The 14,453-nt window shown below is 35.8% G+C and overlaps 1 protein-coding gene across 33 annotated transcripts in view, besides 1 other annotated feature; it reads right to left on the bottom strand.

The window, feature by feature from the left end:
* Positions 1 to 14,453, bottom strand: part of PCM1 (pericentriolar material 1) — a 106,961-nt gene that overhangs the window by 89,567 nt on the left and 2,941 nt on the right. For 15 of the 33 annotated variants that reach the window (NR_148032.2, NM_001352640.2, NM_001315508.2 and 12 more), the window contains 4 exons: positions 4,676 to 4,793; positions 3,003 to 3,248; positions 1,373 to 1,642; positions 521 to 691 (listed from right to left, as the gene is read on the bottom strand). Coding sequence is in view for 32 of the 33 variants with exons in the window: in NM_001352640.2 (NP_001339569.2) it covers positions 521 to 691; positions 1,373 to 1,642; positions 3,003 to 3,248; positions 4,676 to 4,771 (783 nt within the window). In the remaining variant the exon portion in view is untranslated. Of the gene's footprint in view, positions 1 to 223; positions 341 to 520; positions 692 to 1,372; positions 1,643 to 3,002; positions 3,249 to 4,675; positions 4,794 to 5,064; positions 5,249 to 5,523; positions 5,677 to 14,453 lie in introns of all 33 variants that reach the window. The other 18 variants (NM_001352635.2, NM_001352648.2, NM_001352653.2 and 15 more) reach the window with 4 other exon arrangements.
* Positions 13,590 to 13,649: an enhancer, noted in NCBI's record as "active region_27050". NCBI's record gives its function as "activates an Ori minimal core promoter by ATAC-STARR-seq in GM12878 lymphoblastoid cells {active_cell/tissue: GM12878}" and the evidence as "EXISTENCE:reporter gene assay evidence [ECO:0000049][PMID:35858748]".

The following is a 14,453-nucleotide window of genomic DNA, read 5'->3' as shown; positions in this document are numbered from 1 at the left end:
TTACATTTTCAAATTAACCATTAAAACTATTTTTAGTGTTAATAAATAAAACTTAACTTCCGTGTTTAAATACAGAAGAACACATACAGCATTAACAATTTGAGGGGTTCTTCCCTGGAATACACTTTTCATTAAGGAACGCCTATAAAAATAACATCTTGAAAACTGGGAGAAAAATTTAAACCTTCATTTCCAGCACTTTAATTACCAAAAAGCCGCTTACCGTGGTATCTGAAGCCTCAGACTGCACATCTATGTTTAGCGATGTGCTCTCAGCTACAGAACCAGATCCCACAGCTGAATCTATAGTCCGAACATCCTCCTCCTCATTTTCTCTAGCCTGAAATATTTTAGCGGTATAAATCATACAACTATTAAAATGGGCAATAAATTGTTATAATGGATGGCATGATTTTTTGAAAATATGTTAACTCCTCTGGGGTGGCATCAGAATGTCATCAGTAAATACACACTGAGATACTACAAAAATAATATGTTATTTTAAAAGTCGAATACTTACAAGGATTTTTTTAAGAAATTTCATATATGACTTCTCTTGTTCTTTAAGGTGATCTATTAGATGAGTAAGGCGCTCAACATTAGCAGATCTCTCATTTTTCTCTACAAGATCTTCCCGCATGGAACTAGCTTTAGTAATATAATCGCGAATTTGAACAAGCCTGCTTACAATCTGCAGGGGAAATATTTTTTTTAAAAAAAGCATGAAAGTACACAATATATAAAACTAAGGATAATTAGTTCAATAGCAACAGTTTTACAAATTTTTATTTCGAAGATAACCAAAGACACTTGGATTATTGTGTGAATTAACACATGCAAAAAATCTGAATCCAGCTTAGATTTTAATCAAGACATAATTGGTAATACTAAAAACTCCAATCACTGTCAATTCAAAAATACATTTCAAAATTTTAATCTACAGTATCTGAAAAATTTTACTTCTACAACTGCATACAATTTTTTATATAAATTTTCCTAATGTTTATAAATTAATTAAATGTATTATAGTTTTACAACTTTTCAAAAGAATATTTGCCATTTTAAAAAATTCCTACAAAAATCTATTAATCACTTTCCTTCCAATCCCCCTTTACTAAAAACTGGCAATATGCTATTTTGTAAATAAACAGAAGCCTTTAACTAACCTGAATATGCCATTTCTAAAATATTTTTGGATAAACAGAAATTTACTCTATTTTAAGTAAATCTGGCAGATTAACAAAGGAGGTCAGTGAAGCACTTTAATTCCACCCAACTAAAATTCCTGTGTGCGTAACCTAATTTTCTAAACCTTACTGTTGGTATTTTGAGGTTTGTGTAAAGAATGAGCAAAAGAAACAAACGTTATCACCTGGCTGCTCTCCATTGCAGGTTCTCCCCTCCCATCTTCTTCAGACACCTGACAGTTTTGCAAGAGGTCATTACTTAAAGCAGAAGCAAACAACTCTTTACACTGTGCTGATCCAATCGTTTCTCTGTTTGGGGGGTTTGTAGATGCATCTTTGCTCTTGTTAGTATTAATCTGCATAGGCAAAAAGTTGAAGGGCTTTCGGTTTTCACTAAGCTGACGTTTGTTGTTAGCAGCTGTTGCTCTACCTTGGGAATCACTTCCAATGCTTCTCTATATATGAAAAAGAAATCAAATCACACAAACATTAACCTTATGACAAAATTTTGTTTTAACCCCAATGTTCTTAGTTTCGCCATCAGATATTGATTCAGAAGGTGCACACAAAGAGCTTTGCACTAAGACCTGAAAGAGCTTTGGCTCTGTAACAGTCTTTCACTACAATATGAAAATTTGATTAGCATTTTCTAGACTTCACTTTGCTGAGACAATTCAACTGACGAATATGAACAAGGTAAGTCTAAATGAAGTACAGCTTGAGTACCCCTTATCCAAAATATTTCAGACAAGAAGTGTTAGGAGTTTCATTTTTTTTCAAATTTTGGAATATATGCATAAACATGAGATATATCTTAGGAAAGAGACCGGAGTCTAAACATAAAATTCATTTATGTTTCATGTGCACCTTATACACATAATCTGAAGGTAATCTTATACAATATTTTTAATAATTTTGTGCACGAAACAAAGTTTTGACGCGTTTTCACTGCAGACCATCACACAAGGTCAGGTGTTAAATTTTCCACTCATGTTGGCACTTAAAAAGTTTTGGATTTTGGAGCATTTCGGATTTTCGTATTAGGGATGCTCAACGTGTCCTAGGACCATGGATCACACTTTAACTCATATTGCTTTTTATTACTTGCTTATAGTATTTTTATACGCTTTGGACCCAATGAATCAATGTAATTAAAGTTGTGTCTACATGAAGAACTGTCTGAAAAAGTATTCAGCTCAGTGCCTGATATACAGTTAAGTGTTCAATAATTGATAAATAGATATAAATAAATGATACATGATCATTACCAACATCATTATCAGACTTGAATCTACCTTTCTACATTTTTGGAAATGTGTGTGTCTCTATGACATATAGATCTAAGAGTAAAATATCTCTCAAGAATTTATTATCATTTCTACTTGTTTTTAGATCTAAACTTTATTTTGGTGATTATAAACAGAAAATAGTTTCATTCTAAACTTGAGGTAACCCAGCACATCCCACACTTAGCCAATGATATATATACTAAACTGGAACTTTCCATTACTTAATACCATTTTATTCAGTTACCAAAATGCAAAATTTAGTTGTATAGTAAAATCACTTGAGTTAGTCATATAACATAGTATAAAGTCCAGAAATGCATGTCTTTAGCAAGTTTAGAAATGGGACTTCATTTCCTTCTAAAGAAGACAGGACCATCCCCAGTGATTAAAATTCTTTCCATAGGCACAGAAACTTTTTTTAAAAATTACATAAACAGCTCAATTTTTTATTCCTAAGACAAATTATTTAATCCATTTCAAGTATTTCTCACAGTAATAGCTTCATTTTTAAAAATAATTCACAAACCTGATCTAAATCACTGAAGTTTATCCGCTGTTTCAGTTTCTCTAATTCTGCCTGCTCTGGGACAGACATCTGACTCATGTATCTACTGTGTGGGAACGTATGTGGAGTCTTTGTTCTTCGCCTTCCAACTCCTGGTGACGACTCCGGAGAAATATCATTGGTTACTCTTTTATCACTTTCTACACCAAACTTTTTCTTATTCTTTTCTGATGATCTATTTGCTTTCTTCTGTTGGGCACCCCAATCCTTTAAAAAAGTAAAAGCAAAAATTAACATGGCCTGTATCAAACCAGGAAAATAGATTGGTATAATTAAAAAGTTTTGGTCAGTTTTAAAATTAAAAAAGACAAGACATTTTTGACAGACTTATACTCCTAGAGACAAATATTTACTTCTATTAACCCATTTTCCCCTCATTACATCTACCTTAATTTTATAGCCCATCCTTCTGAAAAGAGATTATTTTCTTATCAAGATCACTAACAAATACAAATCCTCAAATGCCAACCCTAAAATCAATCTGAATATTTCCAAGAGGATTTTTTTACATTGTGATTTTCTATTATAAATAGTGAAATAAATTACAGATACCTTTACCGATCTCCTATAAAGTCAGTACGTATCAAAAAGAGATCTGAAATCAAATCAACCTAGGTTCTAAACCTAATTACTGTTTTCTGAAAAAACACTCCACTGTGTGACCCTAGGCTATTTATTTTGCTTCCTATAGTCTCAGTTTCCTAATCTCTAAAATAGTGTCACCTTCAAAATAGGATTAAAACTAATTAGTACCTAGCATTTAGTAAGCAATAAAGACAGCTATTATTTTTATAGGTAAAAATGTACATGGTAACAGCTAATATGGAATTACAAAAAGTGCTTATAGTTTCAAATAGAAAACATTTTTATTTACTTAGTTAAACTCACATAACCTAATTCATTAACAAAAAGGTCTGTAAATTCCCACTTTATCCAACTGGAAAATTCTTTTAGTACTAGTATAGTAAACCACTTGGGATATTTTCCTTATTTTAACAAAACCCCCTTCTTTATGAACTGTCCTTCCACCCAATCTATGAGTGAATATTCCTGCCAACCTGTTACACTACTTACACCTCACCCCACCCTCGCCACAGAAGACTGAAAAAAGAAACACATATCTAATCCAAATTAGGATAATCATACTACAAAATTTCAAATTGGAACTAAGAGGTAACTAGTCAGTACATAACTGCACCCATAACTAAAAGGTTTAGAACAATGGGACAGCCACAGTATATCACATGGACCAGAGGAGAGAAAACTGGTCTGTAAAGAGAAAGGTGTGTTAGGCAGATGCACTCAAAAGCAGAGTTAGGGTGGTGAAAACGTAATTCTTGATAATTTCCCAATTCCTTCTCCAAATCCCTTCCTAAAACCCAGCTGCATGTCTTAAACATGGTTTCCATAAAAAAAACACTTTTACATCTTTATGTAACAGTAAATCTGCTTTGGGGCTTAAAAACTCAATTTGATTTGTGTCTTCAATTAATATAATAAACGGCCCAGGGTCCCTTAATGTCTTGGCCAGCAAGTGTATACAAAGAGCATCAGTGAGTTAAATTTGGTCAGGGGGAAAACTGCATTTTAACATTAATAGCCAACAACACACCATGAAGAGTAAGGAATCATACCATATTGTTGAGCCTGTCATCAACATTCTCATTACTCCAGTTTGGTAAATCCTGATCATTCATGCCATCTTCAAAGGGACCTCCTCCTGTGGCCATACTGGATTTAACAATTAACTCTCTGCGAAACAAGTTAAGAACTGAGCTTTATAACACATAAAAACAAATTCAATTTTCAAATCATTCCATGAAGTTTAGCAATACAATCTTTGAAGCACTGATTTTTATGAACTAAAATGAGGCACTGTCAACCACATCACAGACAAATTGATTTAGCTGTGACAGGCATATTATGATTAAAATGAGCTAGGTAGTTGGAATGACAGAGAAGGAAAGGAAAACCCCTGAATATACCTTGTGAGCACCAGTCTGCATGCTTGAAGATTACTTACTTAATTCAACACAGTTCCAAAGGGTAGAACAATAAAGTAGGAAAAGTGTCATAAACAGCTAGACCCAGAACTTCTCCCAGGAAAGAAAGTATCTCTGTTCTGACAATGGACTTGGGATGAAGATGATACCCTGAAAACACAGGCATTAGTTGTATGCCAAAGAGTCAAAGACGGGAGAACTGCTCTGCAAGAAACAAGAAGAAAATTTTGGTTTTAACAGGAAGGTACAATAGCAAGATGATAAGAAGGTAGGGAAAGAGAAGCAGGACTAGGGCCAAAACATCCAAAAGTGCAGTGGCTAGAAGACATTTTAAGAATAGTGATGCTTACTACCCTAGTTTAATTTGTATTAGTGCTTTCTCTAAATCTTGGTAAAGACTACCAAACTCTAATCCTCCCCATAAAAATGGGGTTTTTGCTTGTACATGTGAAAATCAAGAAAGGGACTGAATTTCCTACCTGGGTCAAAGAGATGAGAAAAAGCAGCAGCAATGGTGGAAGTAGAGGTTCAAAGGCAGAGATGATCATCAGAAAGTAAGATTTCTGCATAATCTTGCAGAAGACTTTGGATTTCCACTAGCTGTGGAATTGTACAGGTTGAAAGGGTGCTAGCTGAAAGAGGAGAGGTTGAGATAATTTTATCTAAAATTCAAGGGACATGAAAAGTCATTAAACTACACACAAAAGCACTGACATTCAAAAGAGACAGTTTGGCCAAGGTCATTCAGCTAAAAATGGCAATAAAAAAATATTAATAGGCTGGGTGCAGTGGCTCACGCCTGTAATCCCAGCACTTTGAGAAGCTGAGGTAAGCGGATCACTTGAGGTCAGGAGTTCAAGACCAGCCTGGCCAACATGGTAAAACCCCATCTCTACTAAAAATACAAAATTAGCCGGGTGTGGTGGCAGGTGCCTGTAATCCCAGCTACTCGGGAGGCTGAGGCAGGAGTATGGCTTCAACAGAGGAAGCCAAGGTTGCAGTGAGCCGAGACTGCACCACTGCACTCCAGCCTGGGTGACTAGCAAAAAACCATCTCAAAAAAAAAAAAGATTAAAAATTAAATAAATAGTAATAATGATAAAAATCCAAGTTGCTTTAATTCTAAGACCCTAACTCATCCCATTCACTAGAGAAAAAATATCAAAAGGATTATCAACTCTGAAAAAGTAGAATTTGTCCCACAGATGTTTTGATGCTAGAATATCTATTAGAATAACATATTACTTTAACAAATTATATAGCAAATTAAATTTTATCTCAAAATAAAAATGATAAAATTCAACGAAGTATTAATTTTAAAAATCTTAAAAATCACAAATACATTGACCCTTCCTGTTATATTTCACTCTTTTTTTAATGAGCATATATTACTTTAATAATTCTCTAAAGAGTTGAAAGTAAGTATAAACAAGCAGTCAACATTATGCTTAAAATAAGACATGAAGGACATCTCCAATAAAGACCAAAATAAGAATGCTACATATCAGTTACTTGGCATTCTTTCAGAAATTCTATCAAGCAGACAAATATGAAACAGAAATATTACCACTGAAAAGAGAAAAGGTGGTATTCTTAAAGAGTAGGTATTTTTTAAAAATCTAGAGAACGTCAAAATATCACCAATACCACTTAAACGATGCTACTTATAATAGTGACAAATATATAAAATAACTAGGAGTAATAATTTGGCTCTATGTCAAGAAGCACTATTAAACTCTATAAAACAATATGGGAGAAAAAATGTGAATAAGTAGAAAAACTATCTTCCATGATGGGATACTAAATATTACAACCAACCACTTTTTCTAAATGTAGATTGGCTTAATGTAATTCCAGTTAAGATCCCACTGGGATTCTCCTTAGAACTTGACAAAATAATTCTAAAATTTATCTGGAAGAATAAACATATCGGAAAAAAAAGTTACCATCTGTAAAATAAAAGCAAGGATAGCAACAGAGGTCAGGAGGTTAGAATGCTAATCCAAATTAGCTGTCTATATGGTTTCAACAATGCTGTCTATATGGTTAAATCAGTACTAGCTCAGGAACAAAAACCCTCAAATACATGTAATCAGAAAAATGTAGTAAGAAAAACTAGTAACAGCTAACGCATTTTATTTTGCTTACCACATGCCAAACACCATGCTAAAATATTTCACGTCCATTATGTCATTAAAGCCTCACAACAATTCTATGATGTAGGAGTGAGCACTGATACAACAATTTGCTAACAGATTTGAAAAAGATACATTTAGAGCTTTAACAGTCTTCCTTAAGTGGTATTCTTCACCTCAATCATAGAAGAGGGGAAAAATCGTTTGAGTCACTACTTTCTCAATTCTCCCAAGGATGGTACATATCCAGTACCATCCATCCCAGACACACAGAAAAAAAGTTAATTCACAGTAAACAACAGATGCCTTAGGGTATTGGAGCTTAATTCTCTCCCAACTGAGAAAGGCTGCCTTATATCATACTATCAAAATAGTCAAAGATTAAAACAGAATTTTAAACATCAATTAAGATTTTAAAAAGACAAGAAAATTGAATGGTTTTTAAAAACAGAGAACTTACTAAATTTAGAACACAAAGAAATAAAAAATAAAAAGTTCAACAGATTTTATTCACATAAAAGTAAATTCCTAAGTGTGCTGAGAATAGTAAATGAGAGCTTGGGAGAAAAAAAAATCTCAAAGAAATACTAAGTATAGTTAATACCTTTGTTATACAGAGAATTTGTTTTAAAAAAATAAAACCGGAGAAATATAAGCAAAACAAGTAGTTTGCAAAAAAAAATACGAATATATAAAGTCCAGCTGCAAATTAAAATAAGAAACTATTAAATTTGCTAACTTTCATATAAATTACATATTATCTAATCCTAATGACAGTAAAAGGAAAATGGAATTCTCAGACACTACATTGAGAATATAAACCAGTATAACATTTCTGGAAAGCATTTTGGCAATACTGTATCAAGAACTAAAACTGAATTTTTGACGCAGTAATTCTACCTCTCTATATGCAATCTAAGAAAACAACCTTAAATATGGTGGAAAGAACTATAATGAAGTTGTTTATTACGCTATAATTGTGATAAATTAAAAAACAACACTAAATGTCAAATGACAAAATCAATGCTATTAGGCAAACTGTACTACACTTGCTGGGTAGAATACTAAGTACCCTTCAAAATATGTAATTATGAAGCCTGGACAATATAACCTGTCGGTGTATCATGGAAAAAGTAATATAAAAAAGTAAAAAAGCAGTATGAAAAATTATACATAAATTTTTTTAAACAAAAGCTAAGAAACTTTATTAAAGTGCTTTCACAAAAGCAATTATTGGTTACAGGGTAGGCACTGGTGATTTTTCTTCTTTTTTTCTGTCTCATATTTTCAGGAACAGTTTACGTAATTATTTATACTAGAAATATATTTTAAAACTTTAAAAAATAATACCCATAGAAGTATATCCAGTGAACCAAAATGACTCATTTAAATAAAACATTTTGCAACTACTGTATTCTACATATACTGACATAATTTGTAATACTGAAGAATAAAACAGCCAGGCAACAGAAGTGATGCCATATTTAAAAGTACTAAAAGCAATTGTTTTGAAACGTAAATTGGAAGGGAAAATTAAGATATTTAAGTCAAAATTATTACATATCATTTTTATCTTAAAAGAGTATGTTAGCAATACTTTCTATTAATAGAATAATGAAGTAATAGTAAAGTAAGATAAATGTATTAAGAATATATCTGGGCCAAGGTCGGCGTTACCACAAGGTCAGGAATTCAATACCAGCCTGGCCAACATAACGAAATCCTATCTCTACTAAAAATACAAAAACTAGCCAGCCATGGTGGCACACGCCTGTAGTCCTAGTTACTCAGGAGGCTGAAGCAGAAGAATCAATTGAACCCGGGAGGCAGAGGTTGCAGTGTGCTGAGATCACGCCACTGCACTCCAGCCTGGGCAAGAGCAAGACTCCATCTCAAAAAAAAAAAAGAATATATCTGGAGAAAGAATGTTTTACGCATTCTATTTCCCTATCACAATAAATTCCCCCTAAAATGCAGAGCTTGTTCCAAAGACCTATTTCTGGCTAACGACTTTGAACACTACTAAAATAAGTTTCTAAAACAATTTTAAAACTGTACACTCTAATTAGTTTGGGAAAAACAGATGATTTTTTTAGTATTTTTTAAAACAAAATTTACTAAAGTCTAATCTATCAGGTTGGCAAAATGAACAATTTCATCCACTGTTACACTGTGATTGCCATAGGGGGTAGAATACTTTGTAACTTAATGATGACACCAAATGTGTTTAAAAGGCACAGCATTAGTATGCCTTTAAAAAGTAAAACTATTAGTATGAAGCTAAAGAAATAATTGCATATGGATGAATTCTTTTTTTTTTTTGGAGACAGAGTCTTGCTCTGTCACCCAGGCTGGAGTGCAGTGGCGCCATCTGGGCTCACTACAAGCTCCGCCTCCCAGGTTCACGTCATTCTCCTGCCTCAGCCTCCCCAATAGCTGGGACTACAGGCACCCGCCACCACGCCTGGCTAATTTTTGTTGTATCTTTAGTAGAGACAGGGTTTCACCATGTTAGCCAGGATGGTCTCCATCTCCTGACCTCGTGATCCGCCCGCCTCGGCCTCCCAAAGTGCTGGGATTACAGGCGTGAGCCACCGCACCCGGCCACATTCACAACATTTCCCAAAAATACTAAGTATCTCCCTCATAAGAGTAATGGCATGTTATTTCTCTTCATGTCAACCTCTTTAACCACCTAAATGTCACCATTACAAATACAGAATCTCTGCCTTCTAAATTTTATTCTGTAAACACATTAATATAAACTAGTACTTACAAGTACAGAAAGTATTCCAGTAACGGTCAGGCGCAGTGGCTCACGCCTGTAATCCCAGCATTTTGGGAGGCCAAGGCAGGCGGATCACGAGGTCAGGAGATCGAGACCATCCTGGCTAACACGGTGAAACCCTGTCACCTCTACTAAAAATACAAAAAATTAGCCAGGCGTGGTGGCGGGCACCTGTAGTCCCAGCTACTCGGGAGGCTGAGGCAGAATGGTGTGAACCCAGGAGGCGGAGCTTGTAGTGAACCCAGATAACACCACTGCACTCCGGCCTGGGCGGAAGAGCGAGACTCTGTCTCAAAAAAAAAAAAAAAAAAAAGGAAGTATTCCAATAACGAAAAGACTAAGGATGTACAGAATACCAATTCAAGCAAAACTGCTGTGCAGGATCAATAGGAGTTGGTGACTATAGTCCCCACCTTATCTGCAGTTTTGTGTTACAGGATTATAGTTCCCCATAGTCAACCATGGTCAGGAAACTGGTGAGTAAAGTACGTTATTTTGAGCGACAGAGACCACATTCTTGTAACTTTTATTACAGTATACTGTTGTGACTATTCTGTCTTATTAGTTATTGTTAATCTCTTACTGAGCCTAATCTATAAATTAAACTTTATCACAGTTACATACATACAGGAAATAACATACACATAGAGTTTGGTACTACCCACAGTTTCAGGCATGCACTGGGGGTCTCTGGAAGGTATCCCACACAGAATAGGGCAGACTACTGTATTACAACACGGGCGATAAAGAAGCAGAAGAGTTAAAGGATAGTAGAGTTAAAAGATAAAGGATAAAGGTTGCTAGAAACTGGGTATGTGACACACAGTTAAACTGATCAGAAAAGAAACAAGTTTTCTTTGTTGAGAGAGGATGATGATGAGTTCAAGTTTTAGAAATGGAGAGTTTGATGTGCCTATAATACACCCAATAAAATTGTCCGGTTGACAAATAGCGATCTATCTCTCAACAGAGAAATCTGGGCTGGAGAGTCATCCACTCAAAAAGTGGGACAGAGGACTCAGGGAGACGATAAAGAGTAAGAGAAGACCAGATCTTAAATACACTGGTATTAAATAGAGAGGCAGAGGAAAAGGACACGCTAATACACTAATAAGGTACAGAAAGACAGGAGGGAAACCAGGAGAGCCTGCCAAAAGGGGAAAAGTGTATCAAGTAGAATGTGATAAGAAACCAAACAGTTACCTTGCCAGATAAGAGAAGTACTGAGAAGTATCCTCCTAGATTTAGCAACAAGGTTACTGTTGACTTTGGTGAGAAATTTCAGCAGGGGTAGTGAGGGTCAATTCCATAACTGGAATGTATTATTGGAAGGAAGAGGGAAAAAATAAAGAAAGTCATTAGCTAATATTTTTAAGGAATCAGCCTATGATGAGAAGCAAGCACAGACGGTCATAAGGAAAGTTTTATTAAAATAGAAGTATCTTGAGTACGTTTACAATTTGTTGGTAAGGAGGGAGATACTGGTCGGGTGCGGTGGCTCACGCCTGTAATACCAGCACTGTGGGAGGCTGAGGTGGGTGAGTCATCTAAGGTCAGGAGTTTGAGACCAGCCTGTTCCAAACTGCGAAACCCTGTTTCCACTAAAAATACAAAAATTAGCCAGGTATGGTGGCACATGCCTGTAATCCCAGCTACAAGAGAGGCTGAGGCAGGAGAATCGTTTGAACCCGGGAGGCAGAGGTTACAGTGAGCGGAGATAGTGCCATTGCACTCAGCCTGGGCAACAAGAGAGAAACTCCGCCTCACTTTAAAAAAAAAAAAAAAAAAAAAAAAAAAAGAGGGAGATACTAAAAATGCAGAAGAGAAAGGAGATAAGCAACTAGCATGTGGGCTCTGAGAAAGCGGGGGCCATTGGGGTCTAGAGCAAAAGACAAATGATTAGCTTTAGAGAGGAAGAAGAACATCTCTTTAATTGAAAAAAACCAAGAAAGGATGGAATGGGTTGGAGGCTGCTTAGCAGATGTGGTGGTAGGAAACCAAAGGTGTTCCTAAGTGTTGTGAAGTAGGAAGGACTGTACATTAAATGTGAGGGTGAGACAGCAGTGTCTGAGAGAGCGTAGAAAAGTAGGGAATGGAGAATGACCGTGGGCAGCACTACGGACTCAGGGAAACGAGAGACTATTCACTCATATAACACATACTACAGATATTTTTTTCCAGCAGTGCTCATATCCCTCAATATAAACACTCCACTGAATCCACCCAAGGTTGAAATTTTGCCATGCAAGTTAAACAGAAAGACAGTAAGATAAGAAAGTTGAAACTGTAGGAAAACAATTGGTAGAAGTGATTGATGACAGTACTACGGGTAGCTGAACGGGGATAAAAATAAAATCCTTCTACTTTAAACACGCACTTCTACTCATGCTATGCCTTACTAAACGAAGTTGAAACTGTTACTTTCAAGTTTCATTTAGCTATTTTTAACAGCCTTAGTGGTTTTTTTTTTTTTTTTACAAAGACACAAAAATGAAAATATACTATGGCAATTTTAAGCTACTTTCAATGACTTTTTTTTTTTTTTTTTTTTAAGAAAATCCTGTTAGGCTGGGCGCGGTGGCTCACGCTTGTAATCCCAGGACTTAGGGAAGCTGAGGCGGGCGGATCACGAGGTCAGGAGTTGAAGACTAGCCTGATCAACATGTTAAAACCCCATCTATATTAAAAATACAAAAATTAGTCGGACGTGGTGGCACGCGTCTGTAATCCCAGCTACTAGGGAGGCTGAGGCAGGAGAATCACTTGAACCTGGGAGGCAGAGGTTGCAGTGAGCCAAGACTGCGCTGCTGCACTCCAGTGGGTGCCAGAGCAAGACTCCATCGCCAAAAAAAAGAACATCCCGTTGCAGGATTCTAACTATAGAGACATATTACAGTAGAATATCACAGTATTAATTACCATGAAAATACCTATGACTACAGTTTACCTTTGAAATAAGAATATAAGGTAAAGAAGAAATTCAAAGTAATCAAATAATCAGGCTGGGTGCAGTGGCTCACACTTGTGATCCCACCACTTTGGGAAGCTGAGGCAGGCGGATCACTTGATTCGCCTGGTCAACATGGCGAAACTCCGCCTCTACTAAAAACGCAAATATTAGCCACGTGTGGTGGGGCGTTCCTGTAATCCCAGCTGTTTGGTAGGCTGAGTAAGGAGAATCAATTGCTTGAACTCGGGAGGAGAGGGATGCAGTAAGCCAAGATAATGCCACTGCACTCCAGCCTGGACAACAGAGCAAGACTCTGTCTCCAAAAAAAAAAAAAAAAAAATCAAAGTGATCAGTAACGAAAAAAATTATTTTTTTCTCAAATGGCATTAAATTACTCATAATCACCTCTGAAAATATCCAAGATATGCCTGTACTTTTCCTGACAGTAACTGGCGCATGGTTTCACTTTCTACTTCATTCCCTGCTTGCATGAACTAAACACTTGCAATGACTTTTCTAGGACTCTGGCCTCAATTCCAATATCCATCTCATCTTCTCTATTCCAATACTGAACTGATAATTTGTTCAGGATCCTGAACTTCTGAAGTTCCTCTTTCTGATCATAAGTTTTTGCATTCTACTTCTCTCACTTGATTCCTGCTGAAACTGCTCTTAGCCTTCCTGAATACTACCAGCCCCTTGATCGTTTCTCTCTCCCTAAATCCATCAATCCCTTGATTCTTTACTCAAACCCAAACCCAACTAAGTCATTGCAAAAATGCCTTGCTAGCTAGCATCCTTCACTTCCTCACCTACTTGCGTACTGTGTCGACTCAATTCTGGCTAAACTCCACTGTCTGTTTTCTCTGCTACTATTCTCAAGCTGTCAAAAAGTGGGGAAATGATCATAAAATGGCATTGCCTGTGATCACTATTAAGATATACTACACTCTACATACACATAGATACTTTTAAAATGTAAATTTACTCCATGAAGAAAGGCACCCTGTCTGTTTTGCACACTGTTTTATCTGTAGTAGTCATTACATAGCACGTTGCCTAGCACTCAAATCCGTAAAAATGAAAGTACTGATAGGTATTTCTGGTTGTCTTCTTAGTTCTGTACTGTGAATCTCACAGCCTTACTAGTTTCTCCAAGTCTCAAATCCACTTTCCTCCTTCAGAAAAAAATGGCCAAATCTCCTATTGAAAAAACCCAGGTCTTCCAATTTAAGTTAACTCAATTACCCTTTATTTTTATTCGTCTTATCCATCATCTTCCCCAATGTGCTAAAAGGAAAATCTTATAACTAATTTTGTAATTATTGTTTATTTTACTAAAGCCCACCATACAGCAATCACTGTAGTATTAACAACTCTAACACACACATTCACATGTGACCTTTCCCTTGAGTTCCATTTTTCTTGCCCTGTTTTGTTAGTCTTCCAGTTTAAAAAAAAAAAAACCCACTGAGAATTATAATTAAGATATACATCAACTACCTATTCGTATTTTCTCATGACAGTCTCATTTCA

This window comes from Homo sapiens, chromosome 8, assembly GCF_000001405.40.
Source record: "Homo sapiens chromosome 8, GRCh38.p14 Primary Assembly".
Lineage (NCBI taxonomy): Eukaryota > Metazoa > Chordata > Mammalia > Primates > Hominidae > Homo > Homo sapiens.
The sequence above is the reverse complement of the archived record's forward strand: the minus strand, read 5'-3'. Positions and strand labels throughout refer to the sequence as shown.